This window comes from Homo sapiens, chromosome 10 (assembly GCF_000001405.40).
Source record: "Homo sapiens chromosome 10, GRCh38.p14 Primary Assembly".
Classification (NCBI taxonomy): domain Eukaryota; kingdom Metazoa; phylum Chordata; class Mammalia; order Primates; family Hominidae; genus Homo; species Homo sapiens.
Window position 1 is genome coordinate 242,408 of NC_000010.11, and position 12,230 is coordinate 254,637.

General features: G+C 38.1%; 1 protein-coding gene and 1 long non-coding RNA gene across 39 annotated transcripts in view, besides 1 other annotated feature; one reads left to right on the forward strand and one right to left on the reverse strand.

Annotated features, from left to right (window-relative positions):
- ZMYND11 (zinc finger MYND-type containing 11) overlaps positions 1–12,230 on the forward strand; it is a 124,550-nt gene extending 112,320 nt beyond the window's left edge. For 31 of the 38 annotated variants that reach the window (NR_163254.2, NM_001370103.2, NM_001370104.2 and 28 more), the window contains 5 exons: positions 4,359–4,566; positions 4,991–5,059; positions 5,929–6,201; positions 6,496–6,681; positions 9,941–12,227. Coding sequence is in view for 37 of the 38 variants with exons in the window: in NM_001370103.2 (NP_001357032.1) it covers positions 4,359–4,566; positions 4,991–5,059; positions 5,929–6,201; positions 6,496–6,681; positions 9,941–10,063 (859 nt within the window). In the remaining variant the exon portion in view is untranslated. Of the gene's footprint in view, positions 1–4,358; positions 4,567–4,990; positions 5,060–5,928; positions 6,202–6,495; positions 7,384–9,940 lie in introns of those variants that run through there. The other 7 variants (NM_212479.4, NM_001202468.1, NM_001202467.1 and 4 more) reach the window with 3 other exon arrangements.
- On the reverse strand, positions 187–6,496 carry LOC107984190 (uncharacterized). The gene is made up of 2 exons (XR_007062025.1): positions 6,405–6,496; positions 187–3,614 (listed from the first exon to the last, which is right to left on the reverse strand). It is a non-coding gene; the product is annotated as an uncharacterized LOC107984190 (long non-coding RNA).
- Positions 5,921–7,120: an enhancer, noted in NCBI's record as "BRD4-independent group 4 enhancer chr10:294268-295467 (GRCh37/hg19 assembly coordinates)". NCBI's record gives its function as "activates an origin of replication core promoter dependent on BRD2, P300/CBP, MED14 and CDK7 cofactors, and independent of BRD4, by STARR-seq in HCT116 cells {active_cell/tissue: HCT116}" and the evidence as "EXISTENCE:reporter gene assay evidence [ECO:0000049][PMID:35650434]".

The window sequence follows — 12,230 nt, forward strand, 5'->3', positions numbered from 1 at the left end:
GGCCTCAGAATGTGTCCATTCCATAATATGGTAATGGAATTACCATTACCATATTCACAGTTACTCTAGTTGCTCCAGCCATCTTCAAGGCTCAGTTAAAGACATATAGACTAAAATCGTCAATCTTGTGATCTTACAATGTGTGTAAATACCTGAAGCGTGCGTGGAAATAAGCCATAATAGGAATAAAGAATTCACATGCAATTTATTTGGTTCATTTAACACAGATATTGAGATAAGGTGAAAAAGTGACAGAAACCAGCTACATGATCTAAAAGTCATACTTTGTAAGGATTTAAATGAACAGTCCATGAGGTGTCTCCTGTCATGCCAGGAGGTTATTAGTGCATAGAGAAGCTACACAATGAGGGACCTTACTCCTCCCTGTGGTAAATTTTTACTTAGTCTTCATTAATTTAATTTAAACAGAAGTGTAGTTATAAGAAACCTATAAATACTGTAAATTTCCCAGAAGGTAGTTCTGTTCTTTCATAGGTAGATACACACTTACCTGACACTGTCATGTCAAGAAACATTAAATAATGATCCAATAAAATAACTCAATACAAAATGAATGTTTTAATTACATTAAGTGGTAATTTTTAACATATGCTTAATACATCATACTCGGATGGTTTCAGTTTCTTATCAGAATAGGCAAGGAAATAATGTATTTTTGGTAGGTTAGGGTAAGTCTTTATGTGAGATTGTGTTCTTGCTTCACTGTCTTCTACCCTAATCTTGATACATTAGTCAGTTTCTCTGAGCCTTAGCAAAATAAAGGCCTCATAAGAGTTTTTGTAAGGTTTAAAGAAATGTTGCTACAGAGAGACCTGAGCATAGTACCTAGCACATAGTGAGTACTCAATAAATGTCAGCTTTTATAATACAACAGATATTCAAGGAATAACGGGGGAAAGTTTGCTTCAATGTTTTTCACATTAAATAAAACACAGTTAACTTAGAAAAAACAAGAATTCAGTTATTTTTATAGCCATACTAATAGGTAAGAATAATCTGATAATTAGAACTTTTTATCTATATATTTTTCTTTTTCATCAACTTGCAAGTAGCTTTATACTGTCTTCAACCATGAGTGATATTAATAATGAGTTAACTTGTTAGATGTCATTCAGTATACTATGCAGAAAATATTTTTAAAGAATATTTGGGTTAGGCCAGGCACGGTGGCTCACGCCTGTAATCCCTGCACTTTGGGAGGCCGAGGCGGCTGGATCATGAGGTCAGGAGATCGAGACCATCCTGGATAACACAGTGAAACCCCGTCTCTACTAAAAATATGAAAAATTAGCCATGCGTGGTGGTGTGTGCCTGTAGTCCCACCTACTTGGGAGGCTGAGGCAGGAGAATGGCGTGAACCCGGGAGGTAGAGCTTGCAGTGAGCAGAGACTGTGCCACTTCACTCCAGCCTGGGCGACACAGTGAGACTCCGTCTCAAAAAAATAATAATAATAATGGTGCTAATCTGCAGCAGTCCTAGAGTAGTCTGTCACCTGAAGAGAGAATTAGGAAACATCAGATTACATTTTCAGAGGTATTTTTTTTCCGTCAAGCTTCTTAGGTCCTGGAAGATTTTATGTAAATAGTTCTAGACAGATGGGACTCTTGAGGACTTTATTTTAGAAAATAAGAGAGGTTGACAAACTCACTGTGTAAAATCATTTTCCTTTTTCCTGGATACAATGTGAACAATTTGAAGTGAAGGACTGGTTAGGATATACTTTATAGTCTTCCATATTAGAATGTTTATTTTAAAAAATTTGATACAATTATAATCATGAATTTTTAATTATTTAAGCAACTTATGCTCAAAAGGTTCTGGTTGATCAGGAGCCACTGGTTGCAAGTTTTGGCTAATTATTCTTCTGCTAGTCCATCATATCATTACATGTAAATGGGAGGAAAAAAAATGAATGGTTTTGTACCATTCCCTCCTAGACACGCAAATAGAATATGCTGCTCGTCGGAGACAATGAGCACGTTGTAAATCTCCAGCAAAAGAGTCGAGTATGATTGTGTTTACATGTGAGAGCTGCTTTAGTGAGCTTTTTGTAGGATTTGCAAGATTTCGCCTGCCAAAGAAAAGTAGCTGATAAGACCTGTCTTAAGGAGGCTAGATCTTTCTGCTGCGAGAGTGGCTGGTGGATGGCATGGCCCAGGCCAGGAAACCAGGTACAGACAAAAAAGAGGTAGAGCACTTCGGGCTCACTGACATCAGATCACAGAACCATTTTATTCTGCAAATGTAGTTAGAGCATTGGCAGACATAGAGCCAGATTAGACTATTCCTCTTGTTATTAGACTTACCTTAAATTGCGGGTGTTTGCTTTTTTATTTTTTGTAGATCAGAGAGCATACCCCGTGATAATCAGATTTCAGTTTAAAAAATTATCTACAGTACTGGAGTTGATTAAAGGAGAATAGAAGTACATTTAAAGAACAGATGTGAATCCACTTTATTTAAGATAAATAAGGAAAATACTCTTACAGATACAAGTTCATTCCAGGTAGTCAGCACTGCTTGTAACAGAATTCTCTCTCAAAAGCAAACTACTTTGAAAAAGTGAACAAACCACTTTTATTGAATTCCTACTACATAATAGGAAATCAGTAAATATCTGTTGATTGGAAGAGTAAATATATTCAAAATCTAATGGCAAGAAACTATTCCACAAGCATGATTTCATGTGTACTCTGCATTAGAGTTTAGTTTTTCAAAGTTCAGTTTACTTTGATATGGTTTTTAACAAAGTACTTATGCCAGATGAGACATAGTTGATATAATATTAACAATATATTCATAAATAATGTTATGGAAGTTCAACTCTAACAATTTTAGCTGTTGTTAGCATCTAATGATATAGATTATTGTATATTTAAAGTGTGCTTCTAGATTATAAAGCTTGGCTTGTACAAGGAAGTGGAAATGGTTATTTATGGCTGAGGCACATGTGGCCATGATTCCCTAAGAGATTCCTTCCAACAGTCATAGGCCCAGGATTTCTGGAGCGCTATAATTACAGGCCAGGGATGAAAACTGTGATATCATATATACTTATAGCAGGAAAAAATCTTTAACAGAAAACTGAAAAGCATAAATACGTGTGTTTATAGTACCATATCGCAACTTGTACTCTACCGTAGAAAATGTCTGTTACTCATGCATCCATACAGTTTCCTACCTCATTTGTGATGTTCCCTCTGCCTGGAATCTCTCCACTCACATTGTCTGCTGTCTAAATCTTATCTTCCAAGACCAAGGCCGAATAAAATGTTCTGACCACTCACAACCAAATGTTAACTGTTCCTTTCCATAGCACCCTAGAGTACCTTTACCACCTGCTGCATTGCATTATAATTATTCCTTAGTTCTTTCTGACAAAATTGTAAGTCCCTCAAAGGCAGAGGCAGTGTAGGAAGTGCCATCCTAATAATCAGAAGACCCGAGAGATTCCAACCACTAATAGTTTACCTTAACACCTGTGGGCAGCATCTCTTGCCGCTGTCAAATGAGGCAATGAAACTCAAGATCACGTAGACCCCATTCACTTTTCCATTCTTCTTAGTGCCTTCCCCTGGTACACAGTAAACATCTGTTGAACACAACATTTGGGATGGATACAAATTTAAGCCGAGAAAGAGACCAATGCCCAGGAAAAAGTGTTCTTTCCAACAGAAGCAAATGTAGTTGTCCTGCTCTAGTTTTAGATATGTATCGCACTTATGTTCACAGCTAAGTACACTGTGGCTAAATAATCAGTGGCTCTGTGTGTTCATCTGGTTTCTCTAATGAGTAGAGGCATGATACAAATATGACTTACTGGATAATATTTTTAGATCTTCCCATTTTATATGAATATATGTATGTATCTTATGAAAATTTTTGGGCATTTTCAAGTGATTCTTTAGTGCTAACGGCAAATAGCTAGATGGGTTATATTAGTTTACAGTATTCAGAACAACAAATAACTTTAAAAGGACTTATGAAGAATACAGATATGAACTAGGACAAGCTAAGCTGATTGAATTGTGAACAATTGGGAGGCATTTGTGAATCCAGTTCTGAGAACTTTTGTCGACTGTGAAAGACAAAACAAATCTCATTTATTTTCCGCTTGGTAACAGTTTATTTATTCAAGCCATGACGAAGCCTAAGTGATTGTGGTTTTCGCAATTAAAAGTAACGGCAGAACCCACAATTGCTTTTGCACCAAGCTAACAGACGAGAACTGCCACAGGTCGCACTTTATGGCAGGCAGGGTCCACTGAAGCCCTCTTTTACCACCCTTCCTGCCATTTGGGATGTTTCTAACTATACCTTTATGTGTTTTTCCTAGGGCCTGGATTCCTTCTGAAAACATTCAAGATATCACAGTCAACATTCATCGGCTGCACGTGAAGCGCAGTATGGGTTGGAAAAAGGCCTGTGATGAGCTGGAGCTGCATCAGCGTTTCCTACGAGAAGGGAGATTTTGGAAATCTAAGAATGAGGACCGAGGTGAGGAAGAGGCAGAATCCAGTATCTCCTCCACCAGTAATGAGCAGGTGAGTGTGTCTCCGGAAGGAAGTGCCTATTCATTATTACTTTTAAATGCAGAAATCTTAGTGCACACTCCTCACTGTAATGAACAGATTTTGACGTTCTCCTTCCCTTTTTTACATTTGTAAAGTGCTCTGCAAAACTAAACCAAAAGCAGTTCAAATGAATACATAGATGTAACAATCAATGACCTTGACCCTGCCAGTACCAAGAGAGTTAAGTACAAGTGCTCCTCTCTGAAGGTGCGCTGGCTCTTTCAAGCCTACAGTTACCAGAACAGTAAATTAAGTCAGTGGTAACTGAGTGGATGGAAGGATGCAAAAGGTAGAAATGTATTCACTTCTCACCTGTGGGTCCACTATGAGTGTTTTCAGCAGAGAAGTATTTTCTAGTGTCTGGAATAATATATTACTTTTATAATGCCCACAGCTAAAGGTCACTCAAGAACCAAGAGCAAAGAAAGGACGACGTAATCAAAGTGTGGAGCCCAAAAAGGAAGTAAGTTGCCCACCTCGCAGTATCCAGGTGGCAAATGAAACAGGAAATATTTTCAAAGTATTTTGTATTTTCAAAGTATTTCAAAGACAGTCACTCTTGGTGGATACTTGTGAAATTCAGCTGCTGTCAGTCAAATCATATCCATCAAGTTGAAACCAGTCTTCTGACTTCCCTGTCATTATCTGTTACCCTGGAATAGCGTACATGCTCCAAGTCTCCATCTTAATTAAGCAGCCGCTGACCAAAGCTTGGCTAAGTAGGAAGGGCACATTGCTATTAATACATTTCCTGGGAGCTCTGATATTTTTCCTAAGTATGATTAAAAACAACACATTTATCCAGTATATCAGTTGTGCCAACATTTAAAAACTTGAAGGAGACTGTGGTTGAGCTCAGCCGTTTTAAGTGATATAAGCCCTGCATGTTTTAAAACTGTAAATCTGGGCACATTTCAAACACATATTCAGTGAGAAGTGGTTTAGGATTTGAGGAAATGTGTTAATGAATCTAGTCCAATGAAGTAATTATAAGTTGACAATAATTTTTATATTCTATAAATTTCTGTGTTTAGTTTATTTTAAAAACAAAACTTATAGTATTGATAAGTAAAATTATAAATGAAGCTTATGTTTATAATTATTGTAGCTGTTAATTGCATGTTCTTTTCATTCACTAATTGGGGGAGATTTGTTTATTTTTAAATTGTGGCAAAATATACGTGACATCTACCACCCTAACTACATTTTTCAACAGCAGTTTATTCTATGGCTATTATGTATATCACTGAATTTTTATCCGAATGGGGTAGTTCTTGAACTGGTGAATTATGTGGCTTCGTTTGGCGTCTAAACTCTTGTCTCACCTTTTAGGAACCAGAGCCTGAAACAGAAGCAGTAAGTTCTAGCCAGGAAATACCCACGATGCCTCAGCCCATCGAAAAAGTCTCCGTGTCAACTCAGACAAAGAAGTTAAGTGCCTCTTCACCAAGAATGCTGCATCGGAGCACCCAGACCACAAACGACGGCGTGTGTCAGAGCATGTGCCATGACAAATACACCAAGATCTTCAATGACTTCAAAGACCGGATGAAGTCGGACCACAAGCGGGAGACAGAGCGTGTTGTCCGAGAAGCTCTGGAGAAGGTAATGCTTGTCGCCACTGTGGGTGCCCTGCTGCAGCCGGCACTCCTGTCATGGTTAGGCTCCTTTCACTCATGCATCAACCCAGTAGCAGCTTTTACATGTAGCCATATAATGACACCAGTATCTTTTACAGCATTTCAAGTAATAATGATACTTTCCTCACCTAAATTTTTTACACATGTAATGAAGGGGAAAAAAGGTACCTCATGCAAGTTGTGTTAAGTTTCTGTTCCAGTGTAGATGGTCTGTGTTAAGTTGTGTGCTGACGCACTGTGGGTTGTCTTTTCATTCCAGCTGCGTTCTGAAATGGAAGAAGAAAAGAGACAAGCTGTAAATAAAGCTGTAGCCAACATGCAGGGTGAGATGGACAGAAAATGTAAGCAAGTAAAGGAAAAGTGTAAGGAAGAATTTGTAGAAGAAATCAAGAAGCTGGCAACACAGCACAAGCAACTGATTTCTCAGACCAAGAAGAAGCAGTGGGTAAATACCAGTCTTTTTTAGACCCTTATTTCTGAAAATGTACCACAGGTATGATGCCCGTTAATTCAGAAGGTAGCTGTGGCACATGCAGAAGATGTTTCTGAAATAAGATCAAATGTGAAATGGTCAGCTTTAGTTTTAAAAATTTTATTAAAAGTCCTATGATCTCTCAACCCCAGATCCCATATTACTGTGTACTGCTCAGGATTATTTTGTTAAATTGAGATTATAATACCTTAGTACATATTTATTACAATTAACTTATATAATTTCTCCATCTATGCATATATTTTATTTGGGCAAAGTGGCTGGCCCTGACTTTTACCTGGTGATTTCAGATGGGTAACATCCAAATGGTGAAATTATAAATGTAATTATCACAATAAATAGTTTCAGATTTCCCTGCACTTAACATTTATACATTAGATTTTGTTAAAGAAATCAGTTACTTTTACTTTATAGTAGTGACATCTCATTGGTCTCTAACTACCCTCCCTCATACCTGACTAGTATCATTTGTCATCGTGTCCTGCTCGCCAGTCTCATCCTCCCCACTAGAGTGGGAGCTTCTGAGTGCACAGGGTCCAAGTGCTCGTCCTACAGCCGCCACAGTGCTCAGTGAATTAGGGAAAAGTTTTGCTCCCGAAAGCTCATAACTTGGTTTCAGTTTTAATAAATGACTATATAAAGTTTTGTGATAAACTAATTCTTCATTTTATCAAGCCTATATTATATAAATACACATAAGCTTTTCATGAAAGAAATATTTTTAAATCTGTGACAAAGATTTGGCAAGAAGGAAAATGGAAACTTCGAATAGATGAAGATAACTTGGTAGGAAGAGCTGGTGAATAACAAAATAAATATTGTTAACAAAAGACCAGGAGATCTGTGGAGGGAAAAAGAGAACTTTATTTTCTGTTAAAAAAACAACCTGCACATTGGGTGTTATAGCCTTCAGTACAAGTGAAAGCGTGCTTTCCGAATAACTTTTCCATGTTCTTCTTTAAGAAATTTCACTGCTGCTCGTAAGGTTTTGAGGAGCTGACAAGCTCTGACTGGTGAGGGATGGCAGTCGGCAAAACTAGTCTGAGAGCTGCAGCCAACATTTTGTGTTCCAGGTGCTTCTCCCCCCAGCTTCTCAACTCAGTTTTAGTTGGGTATGACAAGAATGACTGAATTTGTGTGATCAACTCTCACAATATCATTAGATGGGAATTAAGGTGTGCTGAAGATAACAGAAGCACAACACCCAAAGACGCCAGGTGCAGTGGCTCATGCCCGTAGTCCCAGTGCTTTGGGAGGCCAAGGTGGAAGGATTGGTTGAGCCCAGGAGTGCAAGGTTGCAGAGAGGTGTCATTGCACCACTGCACTCCAGCCTGGGCGATGGAGCAAGACCCTGTCTCTTAAAAAATTCTTATGAGTAGAAATCTCTTAAGTTTACTAAAGAATCAAGAAAATGGGAAGAAGAGGCTATAATTATAATACTGTCTTTTGTAGCACTTTACCATTTGTGAAACAGCTAAAGTGGGTATTTTTGTACTCTTCTTTAAGATGAAGAATTTGAGGCTTATGAGATTAAATAGAATGATTAAAAACCTAGTTGGCAGAGCTGAGCTTTTTGTGCTCATCACATTCTAGTAAAAGGGTTAGAATTCTTTCTTCTCGGCCAGGCTCGGTGCTCACACCTGTAATTCCAGCACTTGGGAAGGCCGAGGTGGGCAGATCACTTGAGACCAGCCTGGGCAACATGGTGAAACCCCATCTCTACAAAAAATACAAAAATTAGCCGGGCGTGGTGGTGTGTGCCTGAAACCCCAGCTACTTGAGAGGCTCAGGCAGAAGAATCTCTTGAACCCAGGAGGCAGAGATCAAAATGAGCTGAGATTGTGCCACTGCACTCCAGCCTGGGCGACAGAGCGAGACTCACTCTCAAAGAATCAAGAATTCTTTCTTCCCAATTACATCTTACATTGTTGTAAGAAATAGAGTAGTATTATAGGACAGAAAGCATGTAGGTATGCCAGATGCCGAATAATGGATGTCACGAGAAACACAGATAGATGTATCCATTAAATATATCCCCAGAAAGGGAGAAATTGAAAACGAAATAATAGGGTATTTGGGAGAAGGGATGGTGGTGCTGTGTAAAGTCTGAAAGATGAGGAAACTAAGAAGTTAAATAACTTGAAGCCACATGACCAGTGGGTGGCACAGACCCCAGATGTGAATCCCGACACGCCTCATCCAAGCCGTTTCCAAAACTGACTCTGCACCTAATGGGGATTTTTCTGAAGGTGCACTTGCTGACATAATGGATAATAATGCACACAATACACAGGAAGGAAATTAGAATGTTTAGGTATCAAATGTAGGCTAGTCTCCCTGGGTTCTTCCTCCAGGGCTCTCAACAGCCGTCAGATCTGCATGTGTCTATCTACAGAACTTTCATATTTATACTGACCTGTTGTCAAGTGTTTGTTTACATCCAGAAGGTCTCTCATCTTCCTTGCCTCACTGTGGGTGTCTGTTCATGGTACTACTGTTAGTTCACCAACCCAGCTTGGAACTTTAGCTTTACTTTTTTCACTCTTCTCTTCTCCCATGACCAAAGAGTTCAACCATGGTATATGGACCCTTGCACTAGAACATTCTTTGGGGGAGGTGTACATGGTGGGATGTTTAACAGCATCCCAGGCCTCTGTCTGCCAGTAGTACCTTCTGCCCTTAAGTTGTGACAGTCAAAAATATCTCCAGACATTGCCAAATAAGATGAAGACTGAGACTTGGCCACTAGATTTGAAGTTGTAAGTGACCCTGCTAGCAGCATATTAGTGGCATGGTATGAGTAAAGACTGCAGCGTATGTTAACGACGAGAGAAGAATTTGAAATAGGGAGTTTAGGCAAGTCTTTCAAGGAGCTTGTGGGGAGCAGAGAAATGCAAGTGGTAGCTGGAAAGGGATGTGAAGTCAAGAGCATTTTAAGAAAAGAAACGGGAATGACTCTCACAGAGATGGAAAAAACGGGAGGTGTCAGGTACCACCTGACAGCAGCTTGAGTTTGCTGACAACCAGGCATGAGCTGCAGTCATCCCCAGGGCTCCCTTTCCATCTGCTGTGCATAAAACGTATTCAGATTCCACAAAAGGTTGAGCCAGAAAGATCTTTTAAAAGCACCACCTCAAGAGTTTGCCATTTTAACCAGTCGCTTACACATCCACACCCAAGTCTAAAGACTGCCCCGATTTCTTACCTGCAGTGCTACAACTGTGAGGAGGAGGCCATGTACCACTGCTGCTGGAACACATCCTACTGCTCCATCAAGTGCCAGCAGGAGCACTGGCACGCGGAGCACAAGCGCACCTGCCGCCGGAAAAGATGAAGCTGGCCCTTCCCGGAGTCACCCCGATGATTACTCTTTTCAGACACAGCGGTTTTTGTTTCCAAGAAGCCAAAATTGTTTAGAATTTGCTTCCCATTTTGCACCAGCCTTTAAACACTTTTCGTGAAGAAATTTTGCACAGTAGTTTAAATCTTTTGTTAATGCTCCTCCGAAGTTTTTCAGGGGGTAAAAGTAACATCAGTGGAGGGTATTATTTTAAATAAATTTTAATTGAGAATTTGTTGCATTTTCAGCAAATTTTAAAACATTTTTAGGTTTTACAGAGATTTTAACCTTTAAACAACAGATCTTTAAAAAACAGGTGAATACAAGTGAGTTTAACAAAGAAACATTTAGAATAGATCTGAATGTAAGAACTACAGAACTGTTTCAGAAATAAAACATACTACCTTGATGTGACATTTTTTTCTTAACCTTGTTGAGCTGGTTTTGTTCAGCTTAATTTACTGTTCAAAGGCATTATCTGTTGGTCACACCAGTGGGTATATGATTGAATTTAGGGAACAGGGTTGACACAGCAGGGCTAGTCCTGCATATTTTTTCTTAAATATTTCCCAATTGTGTTTTTCATTATTTCTTTTCAATATATAACTTTTATAACAAATTATTAGCTTTGATCTTGTAGTTTAAAATTGCAGGGAACTGGGGTAATCTTTTACTGAGCTGGATCTTAGAGAAAATGAATATTTAAATTTTAAAGTTTGCACATTTCATCTTTGTCCTAACATGAGTGCTTGTAACAAAATAAACAACAAAAACAAAGCCAAAAACTACCTTTATCCATATGTGAAATTATAGATGAGGCATACGAATTTGTTTAATGCTTCCCTTCCCTTCCCACATATCATCTCACTGCCTATTATCTGGTGTCACCTCATGTATCGTAAGTTAATACTAAAAGAAGAGAAAGCACTTAAGTTTCACAGAAGCCGTTATGTTTGTAGTAATGGGTCATTGCCTACTAATGAACTCCATCACTGTACACAGAATGAAGAATAATGCATGTTAATTTTCTTGTATTAAAGATGCCGTGATTTGTAAAAAGTCTGTATTTTGCGGAATGTCTGGATTAAGAAGCATTACCAATAGGAATGGATCGATAGTTGAATAATGATTTTTTATACATAGATATATAAAATACAGCCAGGAAAACTTAAATTACTTTTCTTTTAAAATATCTCACAATTTATGTGGTATTTTTAAAGACTGATCTTAGACCAAGTCAAATTCCCATTTATCATTTAGTTATTTTTTGAGGTTAGAGAATAATTTGTACATATTTATTTAGACCTTTGATATTTATTAAAGCAATTACTCACAATGGAAGTGAAAGAATCAGGAGAAAAGCCTTTTAAAAAGTATTCTCCAGGTTTGTCAGGGTCACTCTAAAGATAAAAATGTAACTAAGTCTTCTGTGAAATATCATCCATCTAATCTTGATGCTGTTGCAGATGGTGGTGACACAAGTTAATTGACAAACTACTGCCAAATGGTGCACAATATTTTGTAAAAAGTACCCAGTAGCCCCATTTCATACAATGTACCTAAATTATGCAGTAACTTGGCATCATCGTTCCCTCCTTGTTGCTGTGTAATTAGTCAGTGTTGCCACAGTGTGTGGCGCTGATGGAGATGTCAGAACCGAGAACACTTAACCTTCTTTGATTGTTTTTCAAGTTTTAAGACTTCGATCCACCCCTATGAGAGCAAGTAATTGTGGAAATATTTTTGGTGTAAAATCATTCCAGAGTATGTAATATTTAACTGATAGCTGCATGAAAGTGAGATTCGTGTTACTTTGGCTTTTCTGTCTCTGTTGACACGGTTGCACATTTCCAAGTTACTACAGCGTGAAAACTGTGTGTTTAAAAAAAAACAAAATTAAAAAAAGAGATTGTGGCCTGGTTTTGTAAAAGTTTTAGGTAAAATTACAATTGATTGTTTTAGGAATCATTATTAAAAATTTTCTGCAAATCATAAAGCTATATCGAGGTGTTGAGCTTAGCCACTATGCACATTGTAATTATTCATTGTGGCTGTCCAGTTCTATGATGCATTCTGGCATTTTGTAAGCTGCTCTGACTAGCAATATATAGATTCATTTAATGTGTTAACATTGGTTAATAAATGTATTTAAAAAAAACTA